This window comes from Homo sapiens, chromosome X, assembly GCF_000001405.40.
Source record: "Homo sapiens chromosome X, GRCh38.p14 Primary Assembly".
In the NCBI taxonomy this organism is placed as follows: domain Eukaryota; kingdom Metazoa; phylum Chordata; class Mammalia; order Primates; family Hominidae; genus Homo; species Homo sapiens.
This window is the reverse complement of record NC_000023.11, coordinates 31317651-31336234: the sequence shown is the minus strand read 5'-3', so window position 1 is coordinate 31336234 and position 18584 is coordinate 31317651. Positions and strand designations below refer to the sequence as shown.

Sequence of the window (18584 nt, the reverse complement as noted above, 5' to 3'; positions counted from 1 at the left end):
TTTATACCAATGCCTGCACAATTTGTGGTAATGAAAGTCATGTGGAACACTAAATACAGTGACCTATGCCTGAGGAATTATTTGAAGTTGCTTTTCTGCATCCTTAGGGACCCTTTAGTCTCTCGATGAAAGGGAGTGTCCTCAGCAGACAATCTTCAGGAATTGCATCAGCTGCCTCACCCAAGATCATACCCCTTACAGGGGCAGCTCTTCCTGATCAGTGTAGGGGAATAATGACCTGGCCATTTTGGCCCAACTCAGGAGAACATTAACATTCTAGCTCAAGAGCTCCCATGGGGTTGAATGAGACTGTCACTGGGTCTGCATTCACCTTGACTTCTCCCTATTTCTATTCCTGTTTCTTTCACTTCCCTTCCACAGTTGTCTATCCTGCTCTCTAATCATTGCCTTAGAGTTGGCTTCCTGGAGGAAGCCAATCTGTGAGGGGGCAATGAAATTGACAGGCATTTAGAAGCATCTAAGAAAAAGGTATTATAATAGGCCCATTACAGTCACTGGGTAATTTGATTTACTCTTGCTTTCATAATGAGGTTGATTATTTTGTTCAGGATAAGTAGTGATTATTATTATTTAAGGTGTCCAACCTCATGATCTCCATTAATAGGTAAGGACTTTGGGGACAGCATAAAATTACATGAATCTCTTACCTTAAACCTTAAGCTCAGCAGCATACATGCCCATGACAGGCAAGAGTTAGAACGTAAGATGGTCAGTAACATAGATCTTGAAAGGAAATATGTTGGAGTGTGAGCACTTTAAGGGCATAGGGCCTGCATTACTTTTTTATTAAAAATAATTTTGCATCTAACACAACATCTTGCATATTAGATGCAGGATATGCCTTGATTGAATGAATAACTGGGCACTTAAAAGATTGTTCCCAGTCTAATAAAATGAAAGAACTTAGCCTGGTGCTTAGTCTAATGTCCAGAAAGAGTTAATGAACTTCACTTTATCTTCAGTCAGTTAAGAATTGATTCACTTTGTTACTCAACAAATGTCTGTTGAATGACCAATGTAAATCAAACTCTGATCTAGGAACTGGGGAAACGGCAGTAAATAAAACAAAGTTTATTTATTGTGGAGCTTACATTTTAACAAGAGAAGATGGACAATCAGGTCATGATAAGTTTGATTTAAAAACAAAGAATAAAGCAGGCTAAAGGGGCTAGAGGATGGGAGAAGGGGACCCTTTTAGTGGAGTGGTCAGGAATGGTGACATTTCAGTAGAGATGTGAGGAAGTACACCAGTCAGATATTGGGGGACAAAGTGTTCCAGGTGGAGGAAACAGTAAAAGTAAAGGATCCAAGATGGAGCATGCTTAGAGGGTTTGAGAAATATTAATAGCAAGGAAGCCAGTATGACTGAAGCCAAGGAAGAAAGATGGTGAATGATAGGAGGTCAGTGAGTGACCAAGGGCCAGACGAGGAAGGGTCTTATCAACTATGGTTGGCTATCGTTAAAAGCCTTTGGCATATATGCTTTGTGAGAAGGGAAGTCATAGAATTCTGAGCTAAGAAGTGACATGGTGCCTGTAGCATTGTTACTTACTGTGCCTGTAGTATTCATTCATTCATTCCTATATTTATTAACAAAAACGAGTCACCTGAAATATGAAGATAAAAAGAGAATTATTGCCTTGGGACATTTAAATACCAATCACAAAAGACAGACCTATAAAAAATGACCTCCTACAGTGGTAGTAAATAGTGGGTGCAATGGGAGTAGAATGGAAGGGAGGAATCCATTCCACAGTGAGAGAAAGGAGATGTTCTATCTAGTTGAGTATTAACGCATATTGTCCCTGAGGCTACATGCAAATCCAAAGTAGAGGGTATTCCTTTTGATAGGAACTTAGCAAAGAATGTTTATAATTGCTTGGTCCCTGATCTCACCTAGCAAGAGTCACAAGATGCATTCAGTGATGAAAAATCAGTTTCTCCCTTCTACTTAGCCATTCTGATAAGATGAATATCTCGGGCCGGGCGCGGTGGCTCACGCCTGTGATCCCAGCACTTTGGGAGGCCAAGGTGGGTGGATCACCTGAGGTCAGGAGTTCAAGACCAGCCTGACCAACATGGTGAAACCCCGTCTCTACTGAAAAATACAAAAGTTAGCTGGGCATGGTGACAGGCACCTGTAATCCCAGCTACTTGGGAGGCTGAGGCAGGAGAATTGCTTGAACCCAGGAGGCGGAGGTTGCAGTGAGCCGAGATCGCGCCATTGCGCTCCAGCCTGGGTGACGGAGCAAGACTCTGTATCCAAAAAAAAAAAAAAAGATGAATATCTCCCTTTCCAGTTTCGTGTGTAGTCTCCTTACCGCCCTTCTGTTCAGAAAAGGGATTTCTTACGTATGTATAATGAATATAAATATAGGTTTTAGAGAGCACTAATGTTTTAATGAGATAGAAATAGGCAGACGAGAGAGAATAATTGAAGGATTAGTCAACATGAGGGCAATTTGATAGGGAAAGAAAAAGTCTGAGCAGGAAATGTCTGTGGAAAAAAAAAATCGAAGAGGAATGGAATGAAATGAGCTCATTTATGGTGTGAGTTAGGGACAGAAGGGATTTATTCTCAGGAGGTGAAAAGTGAAGGAGTTCATGTTATAGAATTCGACCTAGACCAGCTATCAAGGGAAAGAAAGTAATTCAAAAGACTTGGTCCAGGAGATCTGGAGCAGATACATCTATTAGAGGAAGATTCAGTTTTGAACTGCATCTTCAGTTATTCCTGGAACCCAACACAAAAGCTCATGACAACCTTGTTATCTTCAGGCAAAAAAAAAAAAAAAAAAAAAAAAAAGGCGGGGGCAGCAAGGCTTATGTCTTAAACAAGACAGCACATAACTTCAGGTCAGAGAATTCCATTAACATGAATCACCCACACCAATTTAAATAGGAAAAAAAATAGTAAGCTTGGTTATGTAAAAATTTAGTTTAAAAATCAGAACCAACAATTGAAATTAAACAAGAATGTTTTATTTATTTCTAAAAATATTTAGCTATTTATTTTGAATTCTGAAGCAATACTAATATAGTATATAATGATAAAACACAGTTGATTTTCATAGTAAACATCAGCATCAGAATGCCAAGAGGAAGATTTGTCTCCGTTCATGTTTTATTACTCTGAGAACCGCGTAACATTTTTTAAAGAGTCAGAAAATGGCTAGAAAAAGAGGAAGAAAGATTATTTCCTTAACTAGTTCCCTGGTCCCATGCTTTGGTGGTTAACAGTCAGTTTAACTCTAGAACCATGGAAAGTCTCTGTCACTTTCCTGGTTACCCTGGGATTCCTCACATTGGCAGTAAGTTCGTGAATGAGATAAATATCCTGATAACTAGCTACATTAATGATGAAAATAATTATAAACGTAGGAGTTGGAATTTTTAAAAAGTATCGAGCGCTCTGTGCTCTTAACACAGAGGAAGCATTTTGCATAGATTAACCCGTTTAATCCTCACACCAACCTTTAAAATAAGGACTGTTATTGTCTCCATTTCACAGAAGAGAAAACTGAGACTAGAACAATTTACTAACATATTCAAGTTCATACTTGTAACTATTATGGATTATCAGCCTTAGAAAAGGGGTTCCAGACACCAGTGAATAGCAACCCACACGTCTCAACTGCACAGACCAAAGAGGATGATAATCCCCATTAATCTTTGCATGTTAGTAGAGGCAGTGGCTAGTAACAAATGGGAGAGACTTTGGCTGGAGGATATTTTTTATTCTTTAATCTTTATGATACTGTTTCCCCTCTCCCCTTCTCTCTCTACTCCTCTCTCTGTCAGCTGTATCCACAATAATGCCACAATATAACTACTATACAAGAATATAAAGCTTCTGTTCTCATGCTTATGGGTCTACAGGTCAACTGTAATTCGGGTGATCTGGATAAAACTTGACTGGAAAGCTCTACTTCATACTGAAGCATGCCTGGGTTCGCCTCTAGGCTGTGAGTTCAGTTTAGATGGTTTCTAAATGTGTTGGGTTGTGAGCCCCAGACTAAAGGATCAGAAGCAACCTGGGGCATGTTCTCATGGCAGATTGCCAGTGTGACAAGCCTCTGTTCACATCATATCTGCTAAAGCAAGTCACATGGTCAAGCAAGCCAAGGTCAAGGAGCTAGGAAGCACACTGCGCTCACCATGAGGCCATGGCTAAGGTATACATGTTTAGTTCTTTCACAACTGAGTGAAAAATGGGCCCCAAATTCAATCTCTCCTATACTCTTTTTGCGTTAATTGCTAGTTCTTTCTCACTCTTCTCGCTTTCTAATGGATGTACATCCCATCTATGATCATTTGGTTTTTAATATCTGAGTTGCTCCCTACTGTCTCAGGTTTCAAATTTTACTTTCCTTGAAATTTCCCTGGTGCCTAATACAATACCTTTCACACAGAGAGCGTTCAGCAAATGGTGTGGACTGCCTGTCGTCTTTTAAAAGTACATCTGCAGAGACAGTAAAGGCACCTGGCGATATTGCATTGACTTGTTAGTAACCTGACTTAACCCAGATGGCCCAAAGACTGTAACCACCATTACCTGGAGGAAAGTTCCCTGGTAATGCAGTCAGCCAATTATGTTCGAATTTACTCGAAAATTCCTTGAGCATAAATTATTCATGGCTCTATTTATGTAGGTATCTATCTTCCTATATCTGACCTTAGGAAGCTTGATTGCTTTCTTACTCTTCTAATAATCACCGTGATGTTTTTGAAGTTTTCTATAAGTCGGTTAGAAGCAGCTTTTTTTTCTTTTTTTTTTTCATGAGTAATGCCGCCCAACTTTGGCTATTAGACTTTGTGTGACTGTGCAGCCATCAGCACTGGATATTAGATATAGTTTTATCTCTGCAACTCAGTCACCTTGCCAAGAATTTTAGTATGAACTCTTGACTTCCCAGATCAAATGTGAGCCTGATACTCTAAATGACTTGGCAATCTACTGACAAATCCCATGGTGTGGTATTCTGTTCACCATGTGCAATGGTCTCAGAGCTCAGCATTATCTGTCTGACAGCTCATATAATATTTACAGGTTGTTATTCGTTAGGAATTTTAGTTAGCCATAAAGATTTTCACAGCTATGGCAGACATTAGAGGTCTCATTCATCACTCTTGTGACCTTCCTCTCTGGAATGTAGCCCATCTGTCTCTGCTGTTGAAATCTTTATGGAAAGTCTGCCCATCTTTGAAAGTTTAGTAAGTGATCTTAAAGTTTTCATTGAATCTTTACTTTTGATATACGATATAGACATATAAAGCACTATCCTTATTTTAATTTAACGTTTTGAAAAGTGTTAAATTTAACTTGGCCTTTCATTTAAATGACAGAAAACTTACTCTTGCTACAGGAACTATATGCGTCACATCAAAAGAAAATAGAAATCATACAGAAAAAAATTGGAATGGGAAAAATTACACATATATACATATATATTCAACACTAATAACTACATGAAAGCTTAAATACTGTATTATAATCCTGATTATGACTTTAGGAAATGAAAACGATAGAAATACATTTTGCATATAATTTAACGTTATAAAGAAACCCTAAGCAAATTCAGTAATGAAGTGAACTGAATAGGCTGGGTTACAGAGCACAAGAGAGGGATGACCAACAATCAGATGTTGCCCCTTTCCATTTCTGTTTTCCTCTTTTTATACACAACTTCTCAAATGCTTGCTTCCCCTCCGTCTACTCCCTCCTTCAGCCTCTGATCACTAGTGTGAAATTGCCCTTTTGAGGTCACCAGTGATCGTGGGATCAAATACATCTTCTTCTTCTACACCCTTAGTCTGTCAGGCTCAAGAATTGCTTATACTTCACCAGCTAGGCTGTTCTTGTGTTTCATCCCACTTTATTCTAGCTTCTGTATTATTTTTCTTTGACAGCAGTTCTACTGCCACCGCCATTTGGGGGCATTTGCCAGGGTACATTCCCTTTTGTTTTCCTCCACTGTACTCATCTTTTTTTTTTTTTGTACTTTTATAGCTTTCTTGGGGTATAATTATATGCAAAAATATGCATATTTAATATATGTAATTTGGTAAGTTTGGACATATGTATACACCCAAGATACTATTGCCACAGTCAAACTAAAGATAACGAACATATTCATTACCTACAAAAGTTTTGTGTCCCTTTGCTTTTGTGTGTGTCTGTGCATGGCAAGAACACAACATGAGATGGACCCTCTTTTTTTTTTTTTTTTTTTTTTTTTTTTTTGAGATGGAATCTTGCTCTGTCGCCAGGCTGGAGTGCAGTGGCACGATCTCAGCTGACTGCAACCTCCACCTCCCAGGTTCAAGCGATTCTCCTGCCTCAGCCTCCCGAGTAGCTGGGACTATAGGTGCGCGCCACCTCGCCCAGCTAATTTTTGTATTTTTAGTAGAGATGGGGTTTCACCACATCGGCCAGGATGGTCTCGATCTCTTGACCTCGTGATCTGCTCACCTTGGCCTCCCAAAGTGCTGGGATTACAGGGGTGAGCCACCGCGCCCGGCCGAGGTGGACCCTCTTAATCCCCTTAAGTTTTAAGTGCACTACACAGTATTGTTAACTATAGGCACTATGTTGTACAGCAGATCTCTAGAACTTACTCATCTTGCATAAGTGAAACTTTATACTCATTGAATAACAATTTCTCGTTTCCCCTGCCCTGTCTTCTGGCAACCACTTTTCTATTTACTGCTTCTATGAGGTTGACTATTTCAGACACTTCATAAAAGTGGAGTCATACAGCATTTATCCTTCTATGACTGGCTTATTTCACTGAGCATGTCTGCAAGGCCCATCCACATTGTCACCAATGGTAGGAACCTTCTTTTTTTTAATGCTGAATGGTATTCCATTGTATGAAAATGTGGTGTATACATGCAGTTCTCTTTGTACGATCTTCCTTCCTTAAAGAGTCCAGCCATTCTCATAGCATCTGCTATGATTCTAGTACTTATGGTCTTGTCCTTTCACTTGCATTTCAGTGAAAAGAACCAAACTTATGCTGATGCAAATACCTGTACACAAATGTTGATACCAGCTTTATTCATGATTGCCAAATGCTAATCAGTCTATGGGCCTCTGATTTTCACTGCATAAAATATAGACTAATCTGTTTATCATTCATGCTGATGAATGGTGGATAAATGGTCTAGCTAAGAATGAAAGATCTGTTGTATAGATGTCATTGGTCTAGGAAGACAGAGATGTAGAAAGAAGTACCATAAGCCCAGGCAGTTAGATACTATTCAAAGGCATTTCTCTCTGCCATACTTTATACTACATGTGGCACATTAACAGTAGTTAGGAGTGGATTCAAGGCTGCAGATAAATGCTGCCCAGGTGAGAGAGAAAGAATTGGTTCCACAATTAACCATCATTCAGACAACACATCATAGCTATGTGATTACAAACATTATTTGTGTGGTGATTAACATTTTACAAAGCAATTTCATATTGATTTCCTCATTTTATCCTGACAACATTTTGGTGAGGGAGATATCATTATTCCCATTGGAATATAAGGAAAATAAGGCTTAGGCAGGAAAAAGACTAGCTTAAGATCATGAAGTGATAGGGGAGTCAGGACTCAAATCCAGTTCTTCTGAATCTGTACTCTGGACATTTTCTGCTATATCCAGCTCCCTCTCAAGATGCTGGATTGGGCTTTGAAATAGAAAGCCAACATCCTGAGTGCCTTTCTAAACTCTGAGTTTTACAGTCTATCAGGGGAAGAGGAGAGTGTGAGAGGAATGTTCCCAAATAATCTACTGTATCAAGCAGTATATCTAACTTGCTTTGAGAATTATGCCAACTAAATACTATTGACCTGCAGAAAATTGATTTTTCTCTTTACACTTATATCAATAAAGAGAGGCTTCTGCTGCCATAAGTGTAATTTATGTAAAATGTTTTTAAAACATTCATAGCCTTTAATCAAGTAAATATACTTCTAGGAATTTTGCTTTAAAAAAGTAACTAAAATATGTGCAAAGATTTATCTACAAAGATGTTCACTGTGGCCTTACTTAGAACAGTGAAAAACTGGAGACAACTTATATGTTCCCAAAGAGGGAATTTATTCAATAAATCATGGTACATCCATAAGTGGGAATTTTTTAGCAATGAAAAATCTGTTGTAACCCTACAAGCCCACTCTTAAGCATTCATCTTAGAGAAATGAAAACTTATGCTTATGCAAACACCTGTACACAAATGTTGATACCAGCTTTATTCATGATTGCCAAATGCTAAAAGCAACCTAATGTCTTTGAACAGGTGAATGGATAACTAAGCTGTAGTACACCCATATAATGGCATACTACTTAGCAATGAAAAGAAACAAATCGTTGATACAGCAATATGGATTATGCATTATGCTGAGTGAAATAAACCAGTATCAAAAGGTTACATACTGTATTTATATGACATTCTGGAAAAGACAAAACAAGTCTAGTAGATCCTCCCTAATGCCTTTTGTTCAACCCCAGAGGTGAGTTTTCTATTTTACCTCCAGTGATTGCTGTATCGGTTATTTATCTAAACTGTCCCCACTTTTTTGACCCACCTATGTTATCAAACTCCAAATCCACCAAGTATGAGAAAAGTAGAGAGATGAATGAAGGTATTTGTGTTGGAATTCCAGAAAGTGCTCTTTTGGCATGTCTTAAAATAACATTAGCATTCTTTTTAATTTTCTGGTTAGGCCCCTATGTTGATTAAAATATGACTTAACACCAGGGTGCATCACTTGGAACATTCTGTTCATCATGCATTTAAAAACGGCTGAAATAACAACTTCCCCTAAATAATGTGGCCTGTGCTTGTGATTTTCAAAACTACCTTGGGCACAATATTGAATCCTGTCACCTCAAGGAAGGAAAAGCATTTGAAGATAGAATTGCTACCCTTTCTTGCTCTTAATAACATACTGTGTCTGTAACACAAAAGGAAATTCAGAGGTTGGTTTTGCAATAAATAAATGCATGTGTAGTTTGCTATCTAAATTCAGTGGACAATACCCCATGATGCTGGTGCCGTATGATAATGGTTGATTTGTACATTCAAGAATCTGAATCACAAAGCTGCCCTGGAATTACACGTAGTGGTTATAAGCACATCTGTATAAGAAAATACCAAAGGACAACCCGGTGTCATATAGAAACTATTTGCCGATAAATTTGCTTTTGATGGGCTACTAAAAATGGACACATCAGGCATAAAAGATGTGTGTGTCTATTACGTAGGCTAGCTTTATGAAGAATGACAAGCTTCCACTGGTACACTGAGATAAGAAACAGCTGTTGTTGGCATCAGTACTGCTACAAGAAATGAAAAAATTCTGTGGCACACTTGTGAGCACTGCCACATATTTGATCAACTTTTGAATAGATGGAAGACCAGAATCATCTGGCAGCCCCAAATGAAATTGTCGACAACCCTTAAGAATCTCTTGAGAAGGAGCACTGAACCCAATTCCGTAGAACTATCATCCAATTGTGTGTTATTTCTAAAGCAAGTAGTTCCAGTGTGTGTGTATGTGATTATGATGGGGCAGGGAAGGAATGAGGGGAGGCTGTTGTTATTTTCCTTTTTTTTTTTTTTTTTATTGTGTCAAGGACATTTTTGAGCATAAAATTGTAAGGTTTCAAACAATGACTGCAAAGCAGTTGCTTAGGTGAATTTATAAACTGTGAATCAAAGGGGAAAAACATCTTTCAGAAAAAAAATACACTGAATCTCACCATTGGACCTATTTGATGGCTACACATAAGACAAAAAGCTTTTTTAAGGAAAATAAATGAACACTTAAGAACTGCAATTACAAAAGCTTGAAATTTCATATTGATCTAGAATTTATAATATTTTTAAAATTCTTTAAAAATATTTTCAGCTATTTAGTTCAAGCATATTCTGATAACTTCTCTGACATTTAATTGAAAATTTTCCCCTTTTAATGTAAACATAAAAAGTCAACTCTAGATACCCTACGTAGGTCTTCCCATTAGCTCAGCCAGGCAACGCCAATTTTCCTCTGTCTCTCGCTGCTTAGAGGTTGTTTCTTTCAGGCCGAAAGCCCCTAAGCCAGGCCAGGCAGCCAGCAGCCCTCTCCAGCACACTTCTTTCTGAGAGACGCCTAAGAATAGTGTAGGAAATCCAAAGTGATTCTTCTGCTATCAGAGGATGGTCTAGCATCCTCCAAATTAGAAAGAATTTCTGGACCACTAGAATGATAAAAAAAAAAAAAAACTAGAAAGGTATAATAAGAGAAATTGTGAGGCCTCAGCCCATAGATACCTTTAAGGAAAGAATAGCCATTCTTTTCTCAGTTTAGGTATTCACAGGCTTGGCATTCACAGCCAGTGAGGGCTGGACCAAGAGCTCTCTGGAGTTCTCTTCTTCCTTTTATGATGCTGGTATTTTAAGAAGAAGGTACACTGAGCAGCCAGGAGCTATAATTTCTGGCTCTCCACCATGTTTCCTGCTATAGAGGGCTAGCTTTTTAATATTTCCATAACAACAGACTCTGACCAGATAGGTCAGGAAGTCTAGCCCATGGTTTGTTTGTTTGTTTGTTTGTTTTTCAGTTGGAGTTTTGCTCTTGTCGCCCAGGCTGGAGTGCAGTGGTGCGATTTCAGCTCACTGCATCCTTTGCCTCCTGGGTTCAAGTGATTTTCCTGCCTCAGTCTCCCGAGTAGCTGGGATTACAGGCACCTGCCACCATGCCCGGCTTTTTTTTTTTTTTTTTTTTTGGTATTTTTAGTAGAGATAGCGTTTCCTCATGTTGGCCAGGCTGGTCTTGAACTCCTGAACTCAGATGATCTGCCTGCCTCAGCCTCCCAAAGTGTTGGGATTACAGGCGTGAGCCACCACGCCTGGCCTTAGCCCATGTTTTTAAATCAGATCTTATTTACTCTGTGAACTTATTTGGACAGGAGAGCTGCATCCTACAGAAGAAAAAAGGACAAGAGAAGAGTTGGGAAGAGAATGAGAAAGGCAAAGATGGAAAGGGAAGCAGGGAAGGCAGGAGGAAGGGAAAAGAAAGGAATAGAGAAAGAAGGACAGAAAGAAATGGAAAGTCAGAGACTACTTCAAAACAGCAGCTAAATGTCTTTTTTCTCTGTATTAAAAATTTCCGTCTGCCAAAATGAAAAAGCATAATTACCGGCCAAATACAAATCCATTTCCTATATCGTTTAAATGACATATCTCCAAGGTACAAAACAGCATGTCTGGTTAAAGGTTGGGTGATTTGATCCCTCTATTACTCTATATAAAACAAAGAAGCTGGAGTTTCATTACGCTTAAATTGTCTGGCAGTGGGTGAAGTTAACTTTTATTAGAAGCTGTTCTTTCATATTATACAGTGTAGTCGAGGATATATTAGCTTTGACGTTTTCTTACATCTCAATACACTGCGGAGTGAATTTACTGTGAGACTAATTTAAAAGGGAGTTTTTCATAGGAGGAAATAATGGTCAGCATCAGCTGTGCTTCAAATTATTAGCAGAATGAAAATTCAGGGGAAAAAGTATAGACACATAAAGTTGCTAGATATTAATAAGAATGCGTCTTTTATTTCTGTTTCTGATAATATTCTGTGTTTCTTAAAGCTCCAGTGTCTTAAAACTATATTCAGGAGGAAGATTATATTGTTGAGGAAATGTTATAGTGCCTCCTCAACAAGATTATTTTGTCTTAAAGAAAGAAAAAAAACCATCAGATCAAACAGTATATAAAATATATTTGTAGAGGTTCAGCTTTAGGGAAGAAATCCTACAACTTAAGCCTGAAAAAAAAAAAAACAATGCAAAGATCATTCATTTGACCAATACACAGTGAAGTCATAATAAAACAAATTCCTAGTATGTGAAATGAAATTTCACGTATAGGATTCATCACTCATAACAAAAGTCTTATTACGCTCTGATATCAGTAGACATTCCCTCACTTTTGGTCACCTTTTCTAATAAGATCACACTGGTCAGCTGACATTTTGAGGCACCAAATTAAGCATCTATTTGGTAAGTGAATTTGGATTCTCTTTAAACCAATAAAGATAAAAACAACCATATCAGAGTGATAAGCATATTACTTTAGCTTCAATAACTTAGAATGTAAATATATCACAGAGGGATATTTCAGCTACTGAAATAATAAAATCCAGTCAGTCAAATAGTAAAAAATATTGAGAACCAGCAACAGGAAGTATTATAAAAAAAAGCACTCAAGGGAGACACATACAAGAAACCCCGTCAGTCTACTCATTCAGTTTCTTATCTGTTCTATAGGTTTAGCAGTGGAAATGTTTGTGGGTTTTTTTTTTCTTCGCATTTATCTTTGTGCCTGAATGAGTTCAGTTTCGCTTAGATTAGGACAGAAATTTCAGAACAGCAGGTTAATCCATCCTGTCTTCATGGGCAGCTGAGCAAACAGACCAATATCAGTGTAAAATTGTAATTCTGGAGATTAATGTTGTCTTTCCTGTTTGCGATGAATTTGACCTCCTTGCCTTTCTTTTTTTCCTCCCTTCTTTTCAGCGTCTGTCCAGGGTCCCTGGGAGAGAGCCATCTCGCCAAACAAAGTGCCCTACTATATCAAGTAAGTTGGAAGTATCACATTTTTAAAAGAGCATTTATTGTGACTAACCTGTATATTCACAAGTGAGTTTATTTTTAAAATGCGACATTAGCCTGGCCTACAATACCTGTGTCTTTTTTTTCCTGAGGAAGCTTGGATAAAAAACTTATTCTAAAATTACCATTGTAAATTTGCTGATGCAATGGGGAACGACTTTTAAGAAAAGTTTATTTAATGCAGGATATATGGTGTGTTTTGTGACAGAGGGGGCGGATTTTTCACAATAGAACCAAAAGCTCCAGATAATTTTATTGATAGTGGGAGTCAATCTTTGCGAGAACAATTTCTTTTATTTAGGGGTTTTCTCACATTTCTTCTTCCGTCAAAGATAGAAGATTTCCGCAGTTATATGTACACAACTGTTTTGGGTGAATGAATACTACATGTTTCCAAAAGGCAGAAAGCAGCAGTCCTCGACTCGTAGGGCTTAGTTGTTCATTCTTGATACATAACACTCAGTATTTGTCACCTAACAACAGAAAGATACTGTTTTCTGGAAACATTTGTGCCAGTCAAAAGAATACGAGTGCTTGGAAGCACCTTCTGTAGTATTTTGCATGAAATATAAATGACAATACATTGGGTCAACGTGGAAGAGAGAGGAGAGAGGATATTGAGTGATTACGATACCTTCACAGTCTCTCATCCATTGTGCACTAGAGTCTAACTTAAATTTAACTTTGAATTGGAAACCTCAACAACAATTACAATTTACTGGGTTCATAAAATAGTCCTCGATACCAACCGAAGTCTTTGAACTTGCTTCTGCCATGAGTCTGACTAAAAATATTAGATGTTTTCCCATTTTTTTCCGCCTGCCATCTTTTATCGAATCTGTTTTTATTCTTTCACTGTCCATCAATTCTTCTTAATTCGGTTCTAAAGCAATAACAGCAGTCCTAGATCTTCATTACTACAGTCCTCAAGAAATTTGATTTTATGCCTCTATTTTGTTAACTCAGAAAAATGGGAGTGAAGGTAGTCTTTTGACTCTTTCAGGAGAAATACATACTTTAGGAAACGGTTTACCATTTGTCTTATTACATTTTTCCAGATGAGGTATCTCTTAACTTGAAAATTCTTTTTTAGTATGTTTGATTCTGCTTTTTAGTTTTCATATTTTATGAATTTAATTTTATTATTGTTATATTTAATTCATTAGTCACTCAAAACTGTACATTTTAAATACCTATTTAAATCACATGCTTTATTAAATAATATATTGCTGTAGACATGCACTGTATATTACCTTACATCCACTGTATATTTTATGGAACAATTTTCTTCAAACTCTAGACAGTGATTTCCTACATCAGTGTCTTTGTCCTCACAAATTTTTATTTCCGACTAAGATGTTTGAGACCTGCTACTTCTTCAACCAATTCATAAAGCTCTCACTTTTATCCAATTCCTTTATGAGCTGAAATAAAGACTCTTTTTCTCCTTTCATAGATGAGGTTTTAGGATCACTGGAGAATTCAAGACACCTTTAAGCTATTATTCTCCAAATGACTACTTGTTTGGGGCTCACTAGAGGTCTCACATGGATTGCTAGGGTCTCCCCGGTCCCATTGTCCTTTCCCTATATATTCATCTTCTCCCTGATGTTACTTCTACTACAAGAGATCCCAGTACATTGCTGTGAGGGAATGGAAATGAACTCCGTCCAAAAAATAATAAAGAGACAAATTCCAGAAAAGCTGTAATTCCCTTCTGTGTATTAGTCTCTTGCTGTTTCTCAGTGGAATTAGAGAGCAGCTACATATCCTATTTGTCCAATGCTCCTTCATGTACCTAAAGACCATGGTGATGGTATTGATAAGGGCACAGATCTATGAATAAGAAAACTTCAATTTTAGTCCTCCAGTCTAGTCTTAGAGGCTCTGTCATTAGGCGACTGTATGGCTTTAGGCAAGTCACTTAACCTATAAAAATCTTGGTTTCTTTCTTTTTTTTTTTTTTTTTTTTTTTTTTTGAGATGGAGTTTCACTCTGTTGCCCAGGCTGGAGTGCAGTGGCCCGATCTCGGCTCACTGCAACCCCTGCCTCCCGGGTTCAAGCAATTCTTTCGTCTTAGCTCCCGAGTAGCTGAGACTACAGGCACCTGCCACCATGCTTGGCTAATTTTTGTATTTTTAGTAGAGACGAGGTTTCACCATATTGGTCAGGCTCGTCTCGAACTCCTGACCTCAGGTGATCCACCCGCCTCGGCCTCCCAAAGTGCTGGGATTACAGGCTTGAGCCACCATGCCCAGCCAAACCTTGGTTTCTAATTTATAAAATAAAGAGTTGGACTAGATGATATCTAAGATCCTTTTTAGCTCTAAGACGTAATGAGCATGACTCATTCAGTTGTCCTGTCCAAACTTAAAAACCGAAGATCTCAGCTTTTGTTCGATAATATCTTTATTTTTAAAATTCATTATTTTAATGAACATAATGTAAATTCTTACTTTAAAAAACAGGAATTTTATTTTTCCACTGTTTAATTAGCTTTAGATATGCCCTATCAACCCACTCCAATTTCACCACACACCTCTTTAAAGAGCTCAAATCTTGGTATATAATTTAGGATTATTATGCTTCCTGGCTCATGATAAGAGAGAGAGAACAATAGGCAGGAAAATTTGCCAAAAGGTGAGTATGGAGACCTTAAAAGCCTCTGAAATAATCAGTTCCTTGAAATGAGGAAATTACGTAATTTCTCAAAAATATCTCTGAAACCTTATGGAGAGCAATTCTCTCTACAATTATAATCTCTTTGAAATTAGGGATGGTATAATTTCTCAAATATGAGTGTAAAATGTTAAACTGTAATATAGGGAAAACATACATGTTTATAAAATGAACATTGTCAGTAAGCAGATGATTAATGGCACTTGTGTCTTATTAGCCATTACTATTATCTAAAATGTTCTATGGAAACCAAATTAATTTGATGTACAAGGTTCGGTGGACTTTATGCACAGCTTAATGCCGTTCATAATCTGAGATGCCGTCTTGGTCTAAAAAGAACAAAAATACGTTTACAGTGACAGTGCTTCAACCAGTCCTCATTTTTCCTCTTTTTTATCTTGTTTGTCTTGACTTCCAGTCAAGAGTTTTTACCACAGATGCCCAGCTGCAAAACCAGGTGTCTTCTCTGGCTATGTTTTTAATGCTTTGTAACTTTTTCTTTTCAATGCTGGGATAAAGGGATCGCCCACATAACAAGAGGTTTCTATACCAGTGGCACAGTTCCTGTTGGTTGTTGAATTGTGCACTCATTCTTGAGATTTTAAGTCATTAACATCTTTTGCTCTAGTTTGCAAATCAGGCAGTGTTTATGCCTGCATCCTGACATCAGCTTTTCATATGAGGCTAAGAACCTTGATTTTGATACTTCAAACTACGTGTTTGTCTAGTTTATTTGTCCACAGCATACATCATTGTTACAGTTTTCATATTCCCTCTCCCTTGGGGCTCCCTTATTCCTGCCAGCATCTCTTTCAGGTTATTTGATTACAGCTTTCATTGCCACTGAAAAAATAATCACCAACAATGTTCAACCTGTTACAACTGCCTTTTCTACTCTCTGCCATTTTGTAGTTTTTTGGCCTACTGTCAAACTCATGAAAATTTCAATATAATAGCCTTTAACCAGCTGCTGCATTCTGTTAGGATTTCTTTCACCTTTTTATGTTGCATGCTCCCATATGGGTAAACCAAACAGAGCCAAGAGCTGGGACTCTCTTGCTTTCTTAATGAGTTAGAAAATTGTTCTTCTGTATTCTGGACTGTCAAAAGAATTTAGGAATCCCAAACATGCATGCAGGATGTTCCAGTATAGATGTCATAATAAAAGCATAAGAAATATCACACTGGGTCAGACCAACAGGGCAACTAGCCCGGAACTCTGTCCCAGATGAAGATACCAATGGTTGTTTTGTCAGGTAACCTAGTACATTTTACCTTAAAAATTCGGATACATCATGACCACTTCTTAATAATGCATTGTAAATCAACTGGCAGTGAGTTTATCCAATGGTGTCAAACTTTTCCTATTCCCCACTTCAGCTTTGTCTTAATAATAATATGTTCCATAAATGTACCGACTTCTATATAAATATAGGCATTTTAATTTCTCTTGAATCTGCATCCTTTAACCTCAAGGAATGGCCTTAATTAAATTCTTTGAAATTCAGTAAAAACATTTATATTTATCCAGAGTCGACTTTAGCCTCACATTCCCCTACTAATGCTTTTCATTTTCATCTTCCCAGTCTGAGAAATTCTAATCCTTTTTAGTCTTTTAGTCTGTCCTTGACGGAAAGATAAGCTTTCCCCTTGATTATCTTAGTTGTTTTTCCCTGGATCTTTTCCAGCTCTGTTATATCTTCTTTGGGATGTCGTGACTAGGGTGGCCCAAATATTGGTTATGAAATTTGTTAGCATTGTCTCTAGTTTCCACTCACTCATGAAGAAAGTAAATGTTATTTGCTGTCTCCCATTGGTGCAGAAATGGAGAGATCAATTGAGGTCATAACCTCTTCTGCATATATTAGTTCTAGCCGAAGGTTGGTTTTCTGCTACTTTTCTGTAATACCAGCAAAAGTGTTTGACCTTATATTTCTGCCAGCTGTCCCTTAGGAAGGATTTGATTTTTAGACAAGCTGGTCCTTTCCTCCTTCAAAGACGCTGTGGTTGCTAAATATTGGGAAGAATTCACTAATGAAACTCAGGAGTAAACCTGCTGACTCCATCAGCAGTAATGCATTTCATCAGGTTCCCTTTCGAAATATCTCTGAAGCCCTTCACAGAAGAGTGAAAGATGGGGTTCTTGGGAACTTGCTAACTGCTCAGCTTTTTTTACATGCAATGCTCAAGAAGCAACTCATGTCCAAAGGAGTGTTTATCTTTTCCTGCTGGTAATTTTGAATGTTGTATATACATTGCTGTATATGTTGCCTGATGACCTTGATCGACCCTTCTCTTCACTCTCAATCTCAGGCATGTTTCCACAACCATTTATTGCATCTGAGTTTTGCTCACAACTTTCTGCTGCTTCCTGCTTAGCAAAATGCGATATAAAACCTTATTGGATGAAGTTAACAGTTGCTTCAGTCAACATTTCTTGTTACTGTTGCTGTTTGTGCTGACAAAATTGCTGATTTGGGTTCTGACTGTCCTGTCTTCTTATGGCCTACCATTCCTATAGCTCTATTTGTACGAGTATTTGACTCTCTGCCTGGAACTGTGGCCATCTGTCTAGATTTACCTTTTGGTATATGTGGCTCTCTGTATCCTGTTGGTCTACATTCTGGTTTGAACTCACGGATCTTGGTCTGGTTTTTAGTACCAGTGTTCCCCTAACTCCAGTAGCATCTGAATCTTGACACCACCTTCCCCTGCCCCCTACTGTATTGCCTCTATTACTACTTTCATGGCAATTTTTTCGGATTCCAAATATGTCCCATGCTTAAAGCATATCTTGCTCTCATTCTTGTTCTAGCCCCTGTTGGTACCAGGCATTGCTCCAATTCAAGTTTTGGTTGGTTGATTTCTTCCTTCATAATATTGATTGCTATTTCAGTACCTGTATTTATATACAGAGGGAGCAGTGCCTAACTACATCTTAGCCTTAACAGCAATCAACGTGTTAAATATCCCTGTGTTGGCTGGTTTGCAGTAGACACGTCTTCTGACAATGAGATGGGCTCTTATTATAAAGAAACTGGAGTATGATATCAACATAGAAAACATTTCCTCAGGCCGGGTGCGGTGGCTCACGCCTGTAATCCCAGCACTTTGGGAGGCTGAGGCAGGCAGATCACGAGGTCAGGAGATGGAGACCATCCTGGCTAACATGGTGAAACCCCGTCTCTACTAAAAATACAAAAAATTAGCTGGGCGTGGTGGCGGGCGCCTGT

General features: G+C 38.1%; 1 protein-coding gene across 21 annotated transcripts in view; it reads left to right on the top strand.

Annotated features, from left to right (window-relative positions):
• Positions 1-18584, top strand: part of DMD (dystrophin) — a 2220167-nt gene that overhangs the window by 2003154 nt on the left and 198429 nt on the right. For all 21 annotated transcript variants that reach the window (XM_006724469.4, NM_000109.4, XM_011545467.2 and 18 more), the window contains 1 exon segment: positions 12577-12637. In XM_006724469.4, coding sequence (XP_006724532.1) covers positions 12577-12637 — 61 coding nt within the window.